The sequence below is a fragment of the Homo sapiens genome, chromosome 8 (genome assembly GCF_000001405.40).
Source record: "Homo sapiens chromosome 8, GRCh38.p14 Primary Assembly".
Classification (NCBI taxonomy): Eukaryota; Metazoa; Chordata; class Mammalia; order Primates; family Hominidae; genus Homo; species Homo sapiens.
Genome location: NC_000008.11, coordinates 37,141,555 through 37,158,525, shown reverse-complemented (window position 1 = coordinate 37,158,525; position 16,971 = coordinate 37,141,555). Strand labels below are relative to the sequence as shown.

General features: G+C 43.7%; 5 annotated features.

Annotated features, from left to right (window-relative positions):
• Positions 2,784-2,863: a silencer, noted in NCBI's record as "silent region_19105". NCBI's record gives its function as "represses an Ori minimal core promoter by ATAC-STARR-seq in GM12878 lymphoblastoid cells {active_cell/tissue: GM12878}" and the evidence as "EXISTENCE:reporter gene assay evidence [ECO:0000049][PMID:35858748]".
• Positions 3,004-3,053: an enhancer, noted in NCBI's record as "active region_27224". NCBI's record gives its function as "activates an Ori minimal core promoter by ATAC-STARR-seq in GM12878 lymphoblastoid cells {active_cell/tissue: GM12878}" and the evidence as "EXISTENCE:reporter gene assay evidence [ECO:0000049][PMID:35858748]".
• Positions 13,461-13,755: an enhancer, noted in NCBI's record as "tiled region #9155; HepG2 Activating non-DNase unmatched - State 8:EnhW". NCBI's record gives its function as "activates a minimal TATA promoter and a strong SV40 promoter by Sharpr-MPRA in HepG2 cells {active_cell/tissue: HepG2}" and the evidence as "EXISTENCE:reporter gene assay evidence [ECO:0000049][PMID:27701403]".
• Positions 13,470-13,719: an enhancer, noted in NCBI's record as "active region_27223". NCBI's record gives its function as "activates an Ori minimal core promoter by ATAC-STARR-seq in GM12878 lymphoblastoid cells {active_cell/tissue: GM12878}" and the evidence as "EXISTENCE:reporter gene assay evidence [ECO:0000049][PMID:35858748]".
• Positions 14,579-15,778: an enhancer, noted in NCBI's record as "P300/CBP strongly-dependent group 1 enhancer chr8:37000266-37001465 (GRCh37/hg19 assembly coordinates)". NCBI's record gives its function as "activates an origin of replication core promoter dependent on BRD2, BRD4, P300/CBP, MED14 and CDK7 cofactors, with strong dependence on P300/CBP, by STARR-seq in HCT116 cells {active_cell/tissue: HCT116}" and the evidence as "EXISTENCE:reporter gene assay evidence [ECO:0000049][PMID:35650434]".

The window sequence follows — 16,971 nt, the reverse complement described above, 5'->3', positions numbered from 1 at the left end:
AGCTCTATTTCCTTGGGCCTACAGGATCTGCCTGGTGTTCAAGGCATCCCTGCACCCCACCCCACCTTGCTGGCTTCAGTGGCTCCCTTCTCCTTCCCCTCTGTATCCCTCAACATCCTGCAGCCATTCACTTCTCACTGCTGCTTTCTTTCCTCTGAAACTTCTCCATAAGCTATAGAAGAGTCCATCCAATAAGCACAGGCTTGGGTAGCTCCTATTCCATGAATACTTCTGCTCCCTCTGATCGATATCCCTCTCCAAGTTCCTGCAGCATTATGACTTATACTATCAAATCCTCTCTGTGTTTCACTGCCTCTTTGACTGCTTTCTGCTATTTGCAGTGAGGTTATCTGGTCTCCCCAGCTCCAATTATGAGCCCAGGTCACAGGAGTGACATACTAGTCCCCAGTACTTACATATCCATGGACTGGCTGAAGCAAAGCTTTTTACTTTTTGATTTTTTTAAAAAATAACAGATTACAACATAGTAATATGGTCTTTAGCAGTTGACATAAGATAAATTAATAGGTCACAGGTTAGCTTAGTGTTCTGGTATCCTCTGGCTTCTGATGCTTCCCAGTGTTAGATTGGGGCACATAAATTGAGACTTCTTCTCCCCCCACAACCCTGCCTCTGACCTTTCTATGAAATTCTGTGAATTATTCATCAGCCACGCCCATGTCTGGCATGACGTCGATTCCTTTTAGCCTCTGCTCTTCTTGAAGGGAAGCCGGCTGTAAGTTCCCGACATCACTTTGATTCCTGTGGCATTAGTCCTTGATGTCACCAGCCCCGGATTATTAGTTTGTTGCTGGGACTGGACGATGAGAAAAACCATGCAGACAGTTGGAAAGCAGCCTTAAATTGTTTCCCCAAACAAAATCAAACCTGCTTGGACATCAAAGGAGGGACTGTGGAGCATCAGTCTGAGAGATTTCCGTTTTTATCAACATTCCCTCCAAACTTCCTCCATTTCCAGCAGTCTGACAATTCCCTTTAAAACACAGACCTGACCCTGTAAGGCCTTGGGAAGATGACTGAACAGGAATACCATAAAAGCAAGGGATTTAACTTCACAAAAATAACAGCTGGAGAGAATGGAATGGAATAGGCTTCGGAAGCCAGGGAAAAGCACACGTTCATGGACATGCACACGCACCCCGCAAAACACTGTTTGGCCCACATCCATCATCATTTCATTAAAAATGTACAAACCTGAAAATGTTTTTTAAAACGAAAAGTTCAAGCCCGTAGTAACAGAGTCTGAAAGGGAGAGAAATCCCAGGCTATTCCTGTGTTCCCCTTTGCCAGGCATCTTTTCCCTTCTAGCCCCAACCCAACTGCTCTTCCTTCCCCTCCCTGCCCCTCATTTGCCCCTGAACAAGTCATTTACAAGAGATGGCTGTCATGGAGCATAAAGAAATAATTTAAAAAATCTTCAAAAGGCTGGCAGCACAAAAATCCCTGGCTCTGTCGTTTCTCTGTTTCTGCAAGCAGCAAAAGATCTATAATTCTCACACTTAATGTAATTCCAAGGCATCTAAAGTGATTTACAGTCGGTTTACTCAATACTTTCAGCTTTATTTAATGTAACAGTTATGGCACATAAAAAGTTTATTGAAAATCCTTTGGGAGTGCGATTGAGTAAGAAAGAGTCGTTGCTAATACCATTACAGAAACAGAAGGAAAGGATCTCAGCCTGGTATTTTTTTCTGTGACCTTTATGGTTCCACGAACAAGGGTTATGTGGGAAAAGACTCCTCTCCTATCCCTCGGCCATCATGTAGATGTGCCTGCTGCCAGCTACAGGGTTGAAATCCTGGCTGTTTCTGGACAGCTCTTCTTCAAGCCTGGCTGGCAAAGTGACTTGGGGGATGGCCCTCGGTTTAGATTATTCTGGAGTCTCTATTATTATACAAGGCCTAGGTTCAGCAAAATCTGCAAAAGGGAAAAAGATGATAATAGTTTCCCTCTAATGCTGCCCTATTCTCTGTGTTTTAATAGGCCCCACTTTCTAGTTGGCCCAGCTCCTCTGGAGTTCAGTTCAGTCCCCCCAGTGGCTGTGGATGCGGAGAAGTGAGGAATATGGACTAATACCTTCCATACCCTTTTGAGACAAGCAGGTCTGGTCACTGCTATGGAGACAAAAGCTCTGCTGTTTCCTGGGGTCCTTGTGCTGGCTGCTTCAGAAAGGAAATAATCTATGAAAATTGTAGCTCTCACCATGGTCAGTGTCAAAATATTTAAATATTTGACATTTGCCCCCATATCTTCCTATTGGCTGAATAAATAAATAAATAAATAAATATAAACAAACTGAGATCCAGAAGATGGTTTGTGGAAGAATCTGATCCACTGATGTCTGTGGATTCAATGAAAACGGCTTCCTGTCTCTTGACAAACAGTGTCATTTCCATGTGACTGCTTATATTTGGGAATTTTCTAAGAACACTGATGGTAACAGAGTGGACCCTGGAGCAGATGTAGCACCAGCATTTACTCTTGTTTTCACTTATCTACAGAAATATGCATTTCAGTTCTAGTCATAAGATATTTCTTCATCTCTTTGGTAAAAGTAGGGCTCTTGGAGGTTTCTCTCTCTCTCTCTCTCTCTCTCTGACACACACACATATACACATACACACACCCACACACCCACACACACACCAGCTTTGGGAAAATGACATACTCTACACTTGTAGATTTTTATGACACCTGAAGTTTTACTCTCTTCTGTATACAAACTTAAAAAAAGCATTATCAATGAATATAATTTTGAACTAAATTATTCACTTTCATTTCTGCCTAAACAAAGTACCCTGCACCAAACATATGTCAAGTGCTTCCTACTGCCTCAACATCATTAATGGGACAGTTGTTTTACTGCATGGTGACGTTAGGATGTTTTCAGGACCTCTTGTAGGTGTTTGGCCTGACTGTAAATGGCTTCTTTTGAGTTCCCATGACTGTTTCATACACATGTGCATGCACGCTTATACACACGCATTATTTTTCAGTTTCTTTCAGTTTTCATTATTCTTTCAGTATCTTTCAGTTTCAGTTACTTTTCTGACAGTTTTAAATTTTCTTTTCCTTCTAACTTTTAAAATGACATCTATTTGGAGTGAGGCATCAGATAAGCACGTTGGAAGCTCGATTTTGTGATAATGTATTTTAGATTTTCAGACATATTTTCCTACTTCTTCCTGATTCTTGTTCGCATTCTTAATATTTGTTGTTGTCAGTTGAGTATCGGGCATATATGTGACATATGTGGGGTTGTATATTGTACATAGGTATGTGTGGTTATATGTACATATATACACTTGAGGGTTAGTTTTAAAAATTAATTTACAACATTTCTTATAAAGATTATGTATGGGAGGACACAGCCTTCTCTTGCTATCCCATTCTGTGTTAGAGAGGTGTGATGTCACTATAACCTGGTGGGCTTTGGGTGCATCCTTGTGAACTGTCAGTGATGATTTTACTTCCAGACACCCAGTCCAAGGACATAACTTCATCCCTAACTTCACCTGTTTCAAGTACATTATTGATTGAAAACATTTTCTCAATACATCTCAACAGTCTGATGATTCAGTTCTGTCACGGAGATATCTTCTACATTAAAAAAAAAAAACAAAACTGCAGTTTGCCCACCAGTTGGGAAGCACTTGCTGAGGACAGTGGACCTTTCTAGGGTGAGCACACAGCCCGCGTTCCAACTGACACACATCCCAGCTTTACCTGAAGCCTGGTGGAAGAGTGCACCATTCCCCAAAGATTTCCTCCTGCCTCCACATCAGTAAGTAACTTTGAGAATATACAAAGGTATAGCAAGGTTCATAGTAACATTTGCATCTTTACACTTAAATTATCTTCACAGCTGCCTGTTATTCATGTTTTTTAGTGATTGTTATGGGAAATCCTTTCCCTCTCTGGATGGACTTACCTGAATCCGCAGAAGACTTGGTATGTCAGGTTGAGGTTTGTATTAACAGCACTCAGGGCCGGGCGCGGTGGCTTATGCCTGTAATCCCAGCACTTTGGAAGGCCGAGGCAGGCGGATCACGAGGACAGGAGATGGAGATCATTCTGGCTAACATGGTGAAACCCCATCTCTACTAAAAATACAAAAAACTAGCTGGACATGGTGGCACACACCTGTAGTCCCAGCTACTCAGGAGGCTGAGGCAGGAGAATCGATTGAACCTGGGAGGTGGAGGTTGCAGTGAGCTGAGATCACGCCACTGCATTCCGGCCTGGGCAACAGAGCCAGACTCCATAAAAAAATATAGTAGTCACTTTGGTCCTTGTGTTTTGAAGAAGTACATTTTGGGGTTCACCATAAAATGTCTTAAAATTGGTCTCTGATTGCTCTGGTAGTTATTGAATAACACAGCACTTTGCAATGTGATTTGACATGTGCACCAAATTTAATCTCCTGCAAACAACTTGTTGAGTAGGTATTATCACATTTTGCAGATGCAGAAACTGATCCCTGGATAAGTGATTGTGTAGTGTTAATTGCAATACTACATACTCAGTAAGTGGCAGAACTGGGGATTGAAGACAGATCCAGTAACTCCGATCCTTTCTCCCTTTACATCATACCTAATTTTGCCTCCTGAAAAACAGATATTCCCCATAGTTTGCAAAGCAGGGAATGCCATCCAATCAACATCGGGCAGCTCTGTCTATGCACAAGTAGTGAACATCTGTAACTGATTCCTCTCTATTCTCATATCTCACATTCTATTCCCTGAAAGTTGTGCTCTCAACGAATCCTACCAGGAAACTATTTAATAAGAAATAATGTTGCCACCATCCCAAGAGTAATCTATCTTAATCAGGAACCTCCTAAAGACCCCAAAGCCTTCAAGACTTAAAGAAATGAAGGTCTAGGGGCATGTAATTCCATTTGCTGACAGAGTGAAAGAAAAACATGGAGAGAAGGCTCTCTTCAGTGTCAGTGACATCTCGGCATCTTGCTGGTGCCCACTGACTTGTAAGGAGAGCTTGGTGGTCAACAATTCTCACTGCACATTGCGCAATATGGACCCACACTTTGGCACATGGGGTCAAAGGGGCTTTACTGGTTGGGGGTAGTTGTATCAGTAGCCACCAGAGGGCAGCAGAGGGACAGAACTGTTGGTTAGAATAGAAAGCTGGTTAATTTCTCAGGAAAAGGCTGAAGGGTAGTCTGGAGGCATCCAACAGGAGAGAGCGCTACAAGTAGTGCATACCGTGACGTTTCTCCTGGGCAGAGCCCCTCTTCTGGGCCAATGCCTCTCCCCCAGCTGCTGGGAACATTGGCTCCTGGGAACATTGGCTCTTGGGAACATTGGCTGCTGACAGATGGATAGTTGCTGGGAATTGCGCTGCCCAGGGAACTGCTTCGTCCAAGTTGCACCTTCCCCAGAGGGATGGCCAATGATTGACAAGTGCAGGGATAGAAAGACCTGACCCTTTTCCCTAGTTTAGGACAATTCTCAAGGGCCTTCCAAGATCCAAAGCTCCAGGACTGGTTTGAAGCCTTAATTTCAGATCAGCTTCCCCTCTGTTCAATCCTGCTTTCCTTGCCTCCTTAGGGGTAGATAGCTTTCTGATTAATCATGCACCTCTTAGAGTCAGCTTCCAGAGGACCCTACCTAAGACTTTTAGCTACTTGGTATGGAGAAGCCCAACAGTAAACCCAGAGGAGTGAAGATGTAGCCCAGCATTCAACCTGGAACACTCATGAAACATAGGCTTGGATCCCAAGGTCAGAGCTGGAAGTGGACACATCAACAGATATCAGGTTGGGATGAGGCAGGAAGTGGAGATGCAACTAGAATCCAGTTCAAGGTCCAATCGAATTGGGGCTACAAAACCAGAACTAAGAATAATGGAGTGGTCCAAGTACAGAAGTAGAATTACTTCAATAACACCTAAGCAGACCCGTTTATTTTTTGCTGGAGCAGATGCAAGGAAGTGTGGGTTTAAAATCTTCTGCCTCCACTTTCCTTCATGTCTGTGTCTCCCAACATCGAGGGACTGGCAGCACCAAGCCAAGGCCCTACCTAAGCCCTGTGTGTGCTTGTGTTGACTGCAGTTGCATTTACTACCTCTTGGGCCAATCTGATCTCCAGGCCCCTAAGCTGGGATCACACAGCACATTCAGTCATGCTTCCTATGAAAACTTGGCCAAAGGAGATTGGCAAAGAAAGAAAGTTCTATTGCTTCTAGGCTCCCTTTCCAATTTCCCTAATTTTTTTTTTTTACCCGGGAGCACATAGGTCACTGCCTGTTTTCAAGTTCATGGTAAGATTATTCCACCTAAATAATAGAGGTACCTGCCTTTTCTTAGCTTCAGTAAAACCTGCTCTATCATGCCAGCTGTTGTTAAAGAAATAGACTTTTAAGAACATGTGCAGAAAATCCAGCATTTTGGAGCATGTACCAGAGGCTGGGGCCTCCACAGGGAGATGACTGAACGGCCTATGGATTAATGTACTATTATTACATTACTCTTTAAGCTTCAAAGGTCTGCCAGGACGGCTAAGCTCACTATCTATTCCATGACATTTTAAGAACAAATAATACATTAATATATTTAATTTGAGAATAAACACATACATTATAGGCAGGGGATTTTGTCTATGCTGATAAGGCACCAAATGACCTTTCCAGAGCAAGCCCAGCACGCAGAGCTGAAAAGGGACGTGTTCCAAAAAACCTTTTGTGTCTCTGGGTCATAATATGTGGGCTTTAATGCAGCGTTGGCCCGTGAGGAGCTGCAGCAGCCACGGTCTTTGAAGATGGGAGCTTTTGCTATAATTACCCCTTCGACACTAATCTGCAGGAACACTAAATCTTGTTGCCTCAAATTAGTTAATCAATTAAGTGTCAAACCACAAAATGTTGGAGATTTTGGTTTGTATTTATTACCTTGGCAGGCACTTCCTCCCTCAGCCCCTTGGCTTTCTCTCTCTTTCCCTTGCAAGGGAGCTGGCTTTTAAAAATGACCAGTCACTCATTGTTTATTTCTGGTCTATTAGCAAAACAGTTGAAGTTACATAAGCCTGGTGCCCAGGACTGAAGCAGCCCTAAGATTGACAGCTTGGCTGCTGTTCAGGCAAAGTAGTGTATTTTCTAGTGCTTTCCTGGGATTAACTTAGAACACAGAGCTGATGAGCCAGCATCTTCTGCTGTGTTCGCTAAAGTCAGCCATTTTGGAGCCGACGGTAATTGATTGAGGGTCCTGTTTCTCCTTACATCACTCTCACAAGGTAAGCAAGGCACAGGCAGTGGTGTTTCTAGATTTCCCTGGCCAGAATCTCTATTATCTCTCGGTTCCGTGATTCCCCCAGCAGCCCTGTCTAGACGAGTGATAGCTGTGGGCTCTAGGGGGACTAGGAAGTGGCTGGACAAGCTGCCCAGGGGCTGTGCCCAGAGCTCTGGACCTGGCTGCTTGTATATCTCATAGGTTCAACTGACATGACCTCCAGGAACCTTTCCATTTCACCTCAGCCCACTCTTACCATCTGCTCAGTTTAGCCACATAAATGAGCTCATCCTCCAATCTCAGAGAGGTCCAACCCAATAACAAGATTAATTCTACTTGGTGATGAAAAACCCAAGGGAAGACATGGCCCCAGTATTTAAGGTACGTATAGTCTCCTTGAAGGGACAGAGATTTATGTACTTAATAATAAAAACAAGGTAATGTGTGTGTATTAATTAGTGAGCTGTGCACTAAGCATGCAACTCATAGATGAGATTATCATCAGCATGGTCCTCACTACACAGTCTCGCTCCTTGGGACAACATACCATTTTTAGTTTGGTAAGTAAGTGGGATTAGCCCAGTTGTTAAATGATAGTCTGTGGACTGGTACGTGTCTCTAGTGATTGCCTCCTTTTTTAACGTTGGGGAGTTAAAATGTTCTTTCATTGTGATAAAATGGTGACAGTAGGTCATCAGTTATTATTGCCCTCATGTAGCCTAGTAAAAAGTTGACAACACTATGTTAGGCCCCAAAGATTTTATTTATCATATATGATATATATGATATATATGATATATATGTGGATGTATATGATATATATGATATATATGTGGATGTATATGATATATATGATATATATGTGGATGTATATGATATTTATCATATATATGTGGATGTATATGATATATATCATATATATGTGGATGTATATGATATATATCATATATATGTGGATGTATATGATATATATCATATATATGTGGATGTATATGATATATATCATATATATGTGGATGTATATGATATATATCATATATATGTGGATGTATATGATATATATCATATATATGTGGATGTATATGATATATATCATGTATATGTGGATGTATATGATATATATCATGTATATGTGGATGTATATGATATATATGTGTATATATATATTATATATATATGTGGATATATATATTTTTTCAGATGGAGTCTTGCACTGTCGCCTGGGCTGGAGTGTAGTGGTGCATCTTGGCTCACTGCAACCTCTGCCTCCTGAGTTCAAGCAATTCTCCTGCCTCAGCCTCCCCAGTAGCTGGGATTATAGGCGTCTGCCACCACGCCTAGCTAATTTTTTTGTATTTTCAGTAGAGATGGGGTTTCACCATGTTGGCCAGCCTGGTCTCAAATTCCTGACCTTGTGATTTGCTCGCCTTGGCCCCCCAAAGTGCTGGGATTGCAGGCGTGAGCCACCGTGCCTGGCCCATCTTATATTTTTATTTCAAAACTTTACTTCTCCTTAAAATTCAAAAATATGAATCCAAATATCTAAAGCCCCCAAAGCAGTGTCTTCATCAAATCTGATTGCTCCCATATTATAACTGAAGAGATTAAAGAGGGAAGTCAGCATGTATTTGTAAAGTGCCACTGCAAACTCTCTCTGATCTTGGCACTCTTGGGCCCCACAGAGTTGAAGACAGTGAGGGCTTCATATCTAAAGATGCCATACTCAGATCAGCTCTGTGTATTCCAAGCTACGTACCTTTGCCGAAAATGCTAATGGAAACACTGAAGGGATTATAGCAATTTCACATCTATGAGAGACCTTAGGCATCCTGGAGTCCAACTCCGTAATTTTAGAGGTGAGAAAACTGAGGCTCAGGAAAGGGAAGCAACTTCCTCAAGAGCAGTGGCCACCCCACCTCCACTTTGGAATAGATCATCCATCATGCAATGCATTGCTTTCCTCCAGCCCTACTGGGTCTTGGATGCCAGACTCCTGAGGCTGCTTTAACTCTTGAACCCTGAATTTCCTTTGTCACCAAAACCTATGACAGGAATTTGATGGCTCTGGGGGTGGAAAAGGAGGCTGTCCTCTTAGATCAGTTACAGGCACTCTCCATAGAACTCCTTTGGGGACTTCCCTGGTGCGAGTCAGATGACTCCTGAGGACTTGAGATAGTATTGGGTAATGAAAAGACTTCGGAATCAGAGAGCTGTATTCAAAATTTATAGCTTGGGCCCATAGCTTAATCTCTGTATGGCAATTTACCCAGCCTTGAATCATGGGCACAGAACTTACCTGGTGAGTTGCTGTAACAATCTGCACGGTGGCAGATGCAGAGCACCTGGAGCAGGGTAGGTATGCAAAAGGGGTGAGTTCTTTTCCCCAGCTTCCCTTCATCTGTATCATTCTTCATTAAGCTGAGAACACTAGTGGTGGGAGAGAGGGTACCATTAACACTTTACAGTACTTAGTGATCAGCTGGCAAGCTTCCTGACTAGGTTAGCCAACCTCACTACCTGGAAGCCCTAAAGCAGTTCAAAATTTAAATAGTAATGGAAAAACCAAACCAAGAAAGACAACATGCTTTAATCCTCAGTGGATGTTGGGGTGTCAAATTCATATTATCTTACTTGTGTTTTAGTTCAGACTTGAGGAAATGCTCTTAGGGCGGGTTAAACAAAAATCCCTCTGACTTCATAGGCGACTCACTTGCTTCGTGGAGCTTTGCAATTTGGACATTGCCCATCTCTCTGCAAGCATTAACAGCAGGCAAGAGCCCTGTGAACTCGATGTGTCTACAAGCCTCGAGGAGATTTAATGAGCCAGTCAATTCAAGGCCCCTTTGCCAGCCTGGCCTTATATGTCTGCCCATTTTAAATTCAGCCTTCTTCTCCTTTCTCAACACTTCAGATCCTTTTATTTTAATTTTCCCTTAATACATATAAAACAATGCAAAGAAATTCCTGGAAACCATGTGCCTCTCCTCCAACCAGACTTGGAGAGAGTGAGTCACTCAGCCTCGTTCCTTGCCTGCCTGCCGGCAAGACACACTGCTCAGGCAGGGCTTTTGTTTCCTCTGGTTATGATTTACGCGGGTGGACCCTGGGCAGGGAAGAGTCGAGTATCAATTTCACTGGGTTACCGTGTTAAATGACCGATGCATGGATGGTTATTGCTGCCTCGGGAGCAAATGAAAGCCCTTCGCTTCCCTGACACCGCCGTCCCCGCTCTGCTGATGATCAGTTAAAAATGTAAATAAAAAGACTGCACTTTGGAGAGAGTCAGCTCCGAAGGGGTGGAGGGGAAATTGCAGAAGCGAAGTTTATTGATCCTCCAGTCAAGATTGATGGCACAATAAGAGCAGGAGGCGAAGAGTGATTTTGCTTTTGAAAACGTTGATGAATAAGCACTCAGGGGCAACAAATAGCTGGGCTCACCGAGTGATGGACGGTGGTGGGGGAACAAGATGCATTTTTATAAATGGGTGAAAAGAGAGGAGGACTTATTAAAAAAATGAATGACCACATGTGGCAGGGATATGCCAGTAGGGAGAAGAAAGCCATTGATTTATGTGTACTACTGGCATTTGAAAATTCAATAATAACATTGACAAATGAGAGGCAAACCTGGCCACAGGACAGCGCTGAGCCTGGAACGGAGAAAGAAAATGCCAAGGTCAGAGAGAAGGAACAGAAAAACATGCTTATGTTGGAAAGCCTTTACATTAACTCATCTATATAAAGACATTACAAAAATCCCTCTGCGATTAGTGCCCGACTCTTTGAGTCGGCAGGACTGGCAAGCAAATGGGGGACGGAAAGGTACCTTGTGGTGCCAGGGGTTCCAGCTGTCCTCCTGCCACCTGAAAGGATATTTGGGTGCTGCACTTCCTGGAGCCTCTCTGCCCTGCTGCCAGAGTCCAAAATAAAAGTGCCCTTGCAATTTAGAAGACCTTGCTGTTGACACCTACATTTTGTCCTGCACTATTTCTTACTGGGGCTTCTGTTGCTGGCACTTTCCCTGTGCTGATTTTTGTGACCATTGTTGTTTTTGTTCACCATCATTTGTGCACACGTTGGCCCTTGGCTGTGGATCATATGCTCCCTGAGGACAGGCTGATGTCTTATATATCTGTAGCTCCCCTCGTGACTTGCAAATGACAAAGGGGCCATACCCATACCATGCCATTTATTTGATTAAGAACTCAGTGGCTCCAGCGCCTCTTATCCTTATGACCTCCCTTTCTCCCCTCCATACTCAGCCTTAATGTTTTCTGATGCAAACAGCTTTCCCCTGATCTCATTCACTCACTCACTCATTCATTCATTCATTCACGTATTCAATGAGTCCGTGCCAAGTACTTGCTCTCTATCAGGCACAAAGCTAGGTGAAAAGTAACATCAGATTACAGATGTTATCTGAAACGTGAAGGATTTGGTAAGAATCTTTTCTGAGCAGCGCTTGCACCTTGGAAGCAATGGTGATAGAGCTCTCTGTGCCCATTATTACCCTCAAGCAGAAGGGTGCTGGAATGCCACTCTTGGTGGTTGCCTTTCTAAGAAAACTCTGAGAGCAGCTGAGCTGCTTTGGGGGGTCTTGGATTTGCTTTGCTTCAAGCCACCCATGGCAATATTTTATTCATTCCTTTTCCTTTTTCTTGCCAACCCCCAACTTACTATCAGTTGTTATTTAGCTGAAGAAGGACAATGGAAACAGTAGACCTGAAACATCTTCCCTGACTGTGTGTCTCTACATGAGAACACACACACACACACACACACACACACAAACACACACCTCAAGCTTTTGACTCATGACCTGTGCTGGCCTCATGTTTCCTGTAGATGCTGCATCAGCTTCTCTGCCTTTAACCACAGGTGTCCCAGCAATGCAACAAGCTGATAATGGGATTTGGGGATTGGAATATTTTAGCCACTTAGTTCATTCCCTGTTATTCTTTTGTTCCCTGGCTCTGCCTTAAATGGCATTGGAGTGTGAGAGGAGGAATCCTCTGGGGAGAGGGCTGTTGCACATCAGCTGACCTCTCTTTGTTCTGTTTGTCCCCCACTTTTGCTGCTGTTCCCCTGTGGCCAGGCTGGCTCCTATGACGTCTTTTCCAAATGCCAGAAGGTGAGAGGGGGCTGGAGCAGAAATATAAATCCTTGCTAATGTCTTCTTGGAAGAGTCTGGAGCTGCAGTCTCTCCCAGGGGCTTGTCCATGGGCATGATCCAAGTGGCTGGACCAAACACAAGGCCCCAGGTGTGTGCACCTGATGTTAACTTAGGATTCCTGTAGGTCTCCATAGGCCGCTAGCCGTTCATCAAATTTTAAAGTTTAAAACTTGTGTTAACCTCTACCGTGCCTTCTTTTTTCTTCCCTGATTTTCTCTCCTGCCTCAGTTCCTAGCCGCAGATGCAGGGTGTGGAGCTGAAGGCTGGGATGACGCAATCCATGGGTTGTGAGAAGCAACTCAAGGTTTTTCCAGCCGCCTGTGGATTCTCAAACCACAGTAGGAAGGCAGCTTTTGTACATCCACTCTTGCAGATCCAGTGACCACAGGTATAGCTATCAGATTCGCTTGCCCATTTGAGAAAACTCGCGTTGAACACATTGGTTGAGACATGTAGCTAAGCCGAGGAATGCCGCTTCCTTCTTTCTCACCCTGTGGGGACTGGGAGATCAGAGACTGAGACACAAACAAGCAATTGTCTAGGTGTCTCTGATGTATCCCCTGGGGATTAGAGCAAGGCTTGGCACCTGGCAGACACTCAATAAATATTTGCTGCATAAATCAATGTATATAATGTATCAAATGCTATAACGGAAAAAACAGAAGTATGCACTGGGAATCTCAAAGTTTAATTTTGCGTCTTAGAATTAAGAATGCCTTAGCAGAAGGGATGACATTTGAATTTGGCCTTCAAGCATGAGTAAGAATGAAGAGCCATCCCTCTGGCCCAATCAGAAGATGAAGGGGAAGGGTGATAACGGAAGTCAGAGATACCAGTTTATAGAGAGTTGAGATAGTTCTGGGGAGAGATAGTAAGCAACTGAACTTTATGACAGTAGTCATCATGACATTTTTTTGAGCATTTAGTATGTGCTATGTGTTTTCACACTCACTACGCTACTCAGTAAGACTGTCATGGATCTTCACAACATTATTCTTACCGACAAGGAGACTGAGGCTCAGAATGAGTGAGCAACCTTCAGTGGTTGCACAGACAATGAGCCCAGGCTGGAGACCAGGTCAACCTGACCTAAAGTGCTGTTAAGCCCCGGGCTGTGGGGAGTTTCCATGGAGCCGATTCTCAATTCTCACGAAGTCAACAGCTGGCACACTGCTGTCATGCTGCAGTTCTCAGTAAATATTTGTTGAATGAGTCAGCCACTGTCAGTTACATGGGTCCGGGCAACTGAGGGGCTTGGCTCTGCTATTTTCCTTCAATGATGACAATCTCCTGCAGGAGGTAAGGAGAGTTTTGGGAAAATCTGTCGGTGAGCACTGACCCTACACAAGTGGACTTTTAATCACAGAAAACAATCCTATGTCACTAAATATCAGAGCTGGAAAATAGCTCAGATAACCTCTTCAGTGGTTTTCAAAAGTGGTTTCTATTTTGCCAGGGGAAAACCGTTCCTCCAAATTCAACATGACGGCTTTCTGAGTCTAACTGATAGATGAAGAAGGGGCTGTACTATCTGGTCAGAGTGCAATGGGGAGTTCAGCCCACTACTCAGCCTCTGCAAAACCCCATGGCAGATTCTGATGTGCCACAGGGTTTTGGCAAATTAAGTAAGGGTGTAGGAGAAGGTACTCTGGAGCAGTTTCCAGGAATTTGGTGCCATGTTGGCTTAGAGAATAACGCCAAAAGGGGCCTTGTGAGAATTCTGTATTCCACATTTTTTTCTGACTCCAGTTCCAGAATCCACATATTTGTGTTTCTGGCTCCAGTTCTAACAGTCAAGGCAGAGGGCGCGTGTCAGTGTGTGATGAGTGTGCAGCAACTGTCCCTGGAAGGCACTGAGAAACACCCAGTAGGACTCTTTAAGGACAAGCAAAGTATCTTCTTCATCTTCACATTCCCTCCTGGCCAGTACATTGCTAAGACTTAAAGCTTTCATTTGTTAACTGAATAATAAAAGTTTGTTTCTCTTTAAAGCATTGCTAGCCATGAGGCTTCCAGGTATTCTTGCTGGGATGAATCCTTTTATTTTAGATATTTTCTTCCCTAAGCTTGTTCTTTTCTTTCTTTTTAGATGAGGCCATCTTTTATTCACATAGTAAGAGCGGGATTGGAATAGAGAGATGGGGAATGAGACAGAGAGGAGGCCTGCCACCTCCATTTGAGCATCATTGCTTGGGGAAAGGTGAGGCAATGGACTCCATCCCAGTCTGTTTTCTGCAGGAGCAGGTTCAAGGTAAGTATAATTTTGTTAATGAGGATCTGAATAATGAACATCTTCCACCCATCCTGTTTCTCTTAAGGAGCCATGCAGGCCGCAGGCCCTTGATAACGTCTAGCCATGGGCTCTGTTTCCCTGGCTACCTTCGCATTCCAGCCCAATATAGGCCCTGCCTGCCTGGGTGGAGGGAAGGGAAGTGAATTCTTGGCTTCCTGAGAATATTTAAGGCAGGCGTGGGGTAGATGTAGGAGGTGGAGGCTCCTGCCTGTTTCCTTGACCATTGACTGGGAAGCAGTCCTGAGTGGGTCAGAGAGGCTGATATGATGTGAGTTTGCACTCAGACAAATTTGCCTTTTCTCCCATGGAGTAGTGGAAATTCTTTTCTTCTGGAGGCAGATCATCCCTCAGTGCTGTGTGGCCTCCAGCCTATCTCTGAGCCTAGGTTTCATTCATTTCCTGTAAAGTGAGGCTAATACCACTCACCTCATAAAAATGTTTTAGGGATTATATGTCATTATGGCTGCAAGCATACCATGTCTATGTGTCATATAATGAAAAAGTTGTCTGTGATTGTAGTTGACGCAAAGAGGAGGTTTCTCTCTGATGATCTCCCTGTGTGGGAAAAATCCTGAGTCCCAGGGCAATCTCAGATCCAGTGGCATCCCTCATCCTGGGGGTCTCCTTCTTGCAGCCAGCTTGCGTTAATCATCCCAGCATTCACAGAGTCCCCCCGGTTGGACTTTGCAGCACAGAGGCCTGGGGCCTGGATGGTGGGAGTGTGTAGGTGAGGCGGGGAGGAGGAAGGAAACGACACTTGTGGGCGTGCTCAGTGTGTTTGTTTTCCATTTGCTGTTTATGAGTGCATGGTTGGGGCCTCTAATTCCATGATGCATGAGTCATTGAGTGGGAAGTGTGCACAGCCCTGTCTTCGTTTATACAAAGCCTTCTAAGGCGTTCCTCCTTCCTGAGGTGTGGGGTCATGGTGAGATGGGGTGGGTGGATGTAGTCTGGTTTAACTTAGTCCATTTCTGGTATGATCACTTTTTTGGCAGAGCATCTGTTACTTGTCATTTACAAGCTTCCCACCCAGAGCCGCTGTAATCCCTGGACCCAATCACAGCCTAGAAAGTGGTGGGACAGAGACAGACAGCTGGACAGACAGGCGGACAAACAGATCAAGGTTGCAAGCTTCTGTTAGAGAGGCTGAAGTAATAGATCTCCCTTCACTGCCACAGAGGTCACTGTGACGACTAGGTCATATTTAATATTTATCTGCGTGTTCCCAACTGCTGGGATTCCCGACAAAGGCAAGAGAATCGTGGAGTCATATAGTCCACGTCCCTTCAGCTAGGTTGAGAATACGGGTGACAGGAGTTGTTTCTGGATGCCTTGTTGGCCAGATTTTTTTCACTGCTGTTTGCCATGATCTTGACCCCCAACATCATGGGGTCTAATTTCAACACTGAAATTAGACATTTGTGAGATGAACCCATAAGCTTTGCTCATTTATCTGTATATACCATGGAAACACCAATCTCAGACATCAAGTGAAATAAAGAGAAAGAAAACAGTATATGATTTTATATTATATGAAATTAAATGTTTATTAACTGGAATATACATGACTTTTGTTGTTGTTGTTGTTGTTGGCAGTCCTGACCCATAGGAAAGTACAGGATTCTAGCATGAATTCCCTTTGATGAATACATACTCTGTCTTCTTGAAGGCTGGATAAAATATGTCAGTGACTTGACCAGGCTGGGGAATGAATTAAGAGAAAAACAAAAAAAATTAATAAAATATTTTTTTTCACGTTTAGTTCCTGGCTTCAGCTCATGGCATCTGAAATAATGGTTCTTGGCCCAACACAGTGGCTCATGCCTGTAATCCCAGCATTTTGGGATATCGAGGCAGGCAGATCACCTGAGGTCAGGATTTTGAGACCAGCTTGGCCAACATGGTGAAACCCTATCTCTACAAAAAAATACAAAAATTAGCCAGGTGTGGTTTTGGTCACCTGTAATTCCAGCTACTTGGGAGGCTGAGGCTGGAGAATGGCTTGAACCCAGGAAGCAGAGGTTGCAGTGAGCCAAGATTGTACCACCGCATTCCAGCCTTGGTGACAGAGCAAGAATCCATATCAAAAAAAAAAAAAGAAAAGAAAAGAAAAGAAAAGAAATACTGGTTCTTCTCCTTACTCCCCATTTTCCAGGGCAGGGTACTTAGCCTCTTCCTTCTCTGTTTTCTTATCTGTAAAATGGGGATAATAATAATACTTTATTGGTACTATGAAGA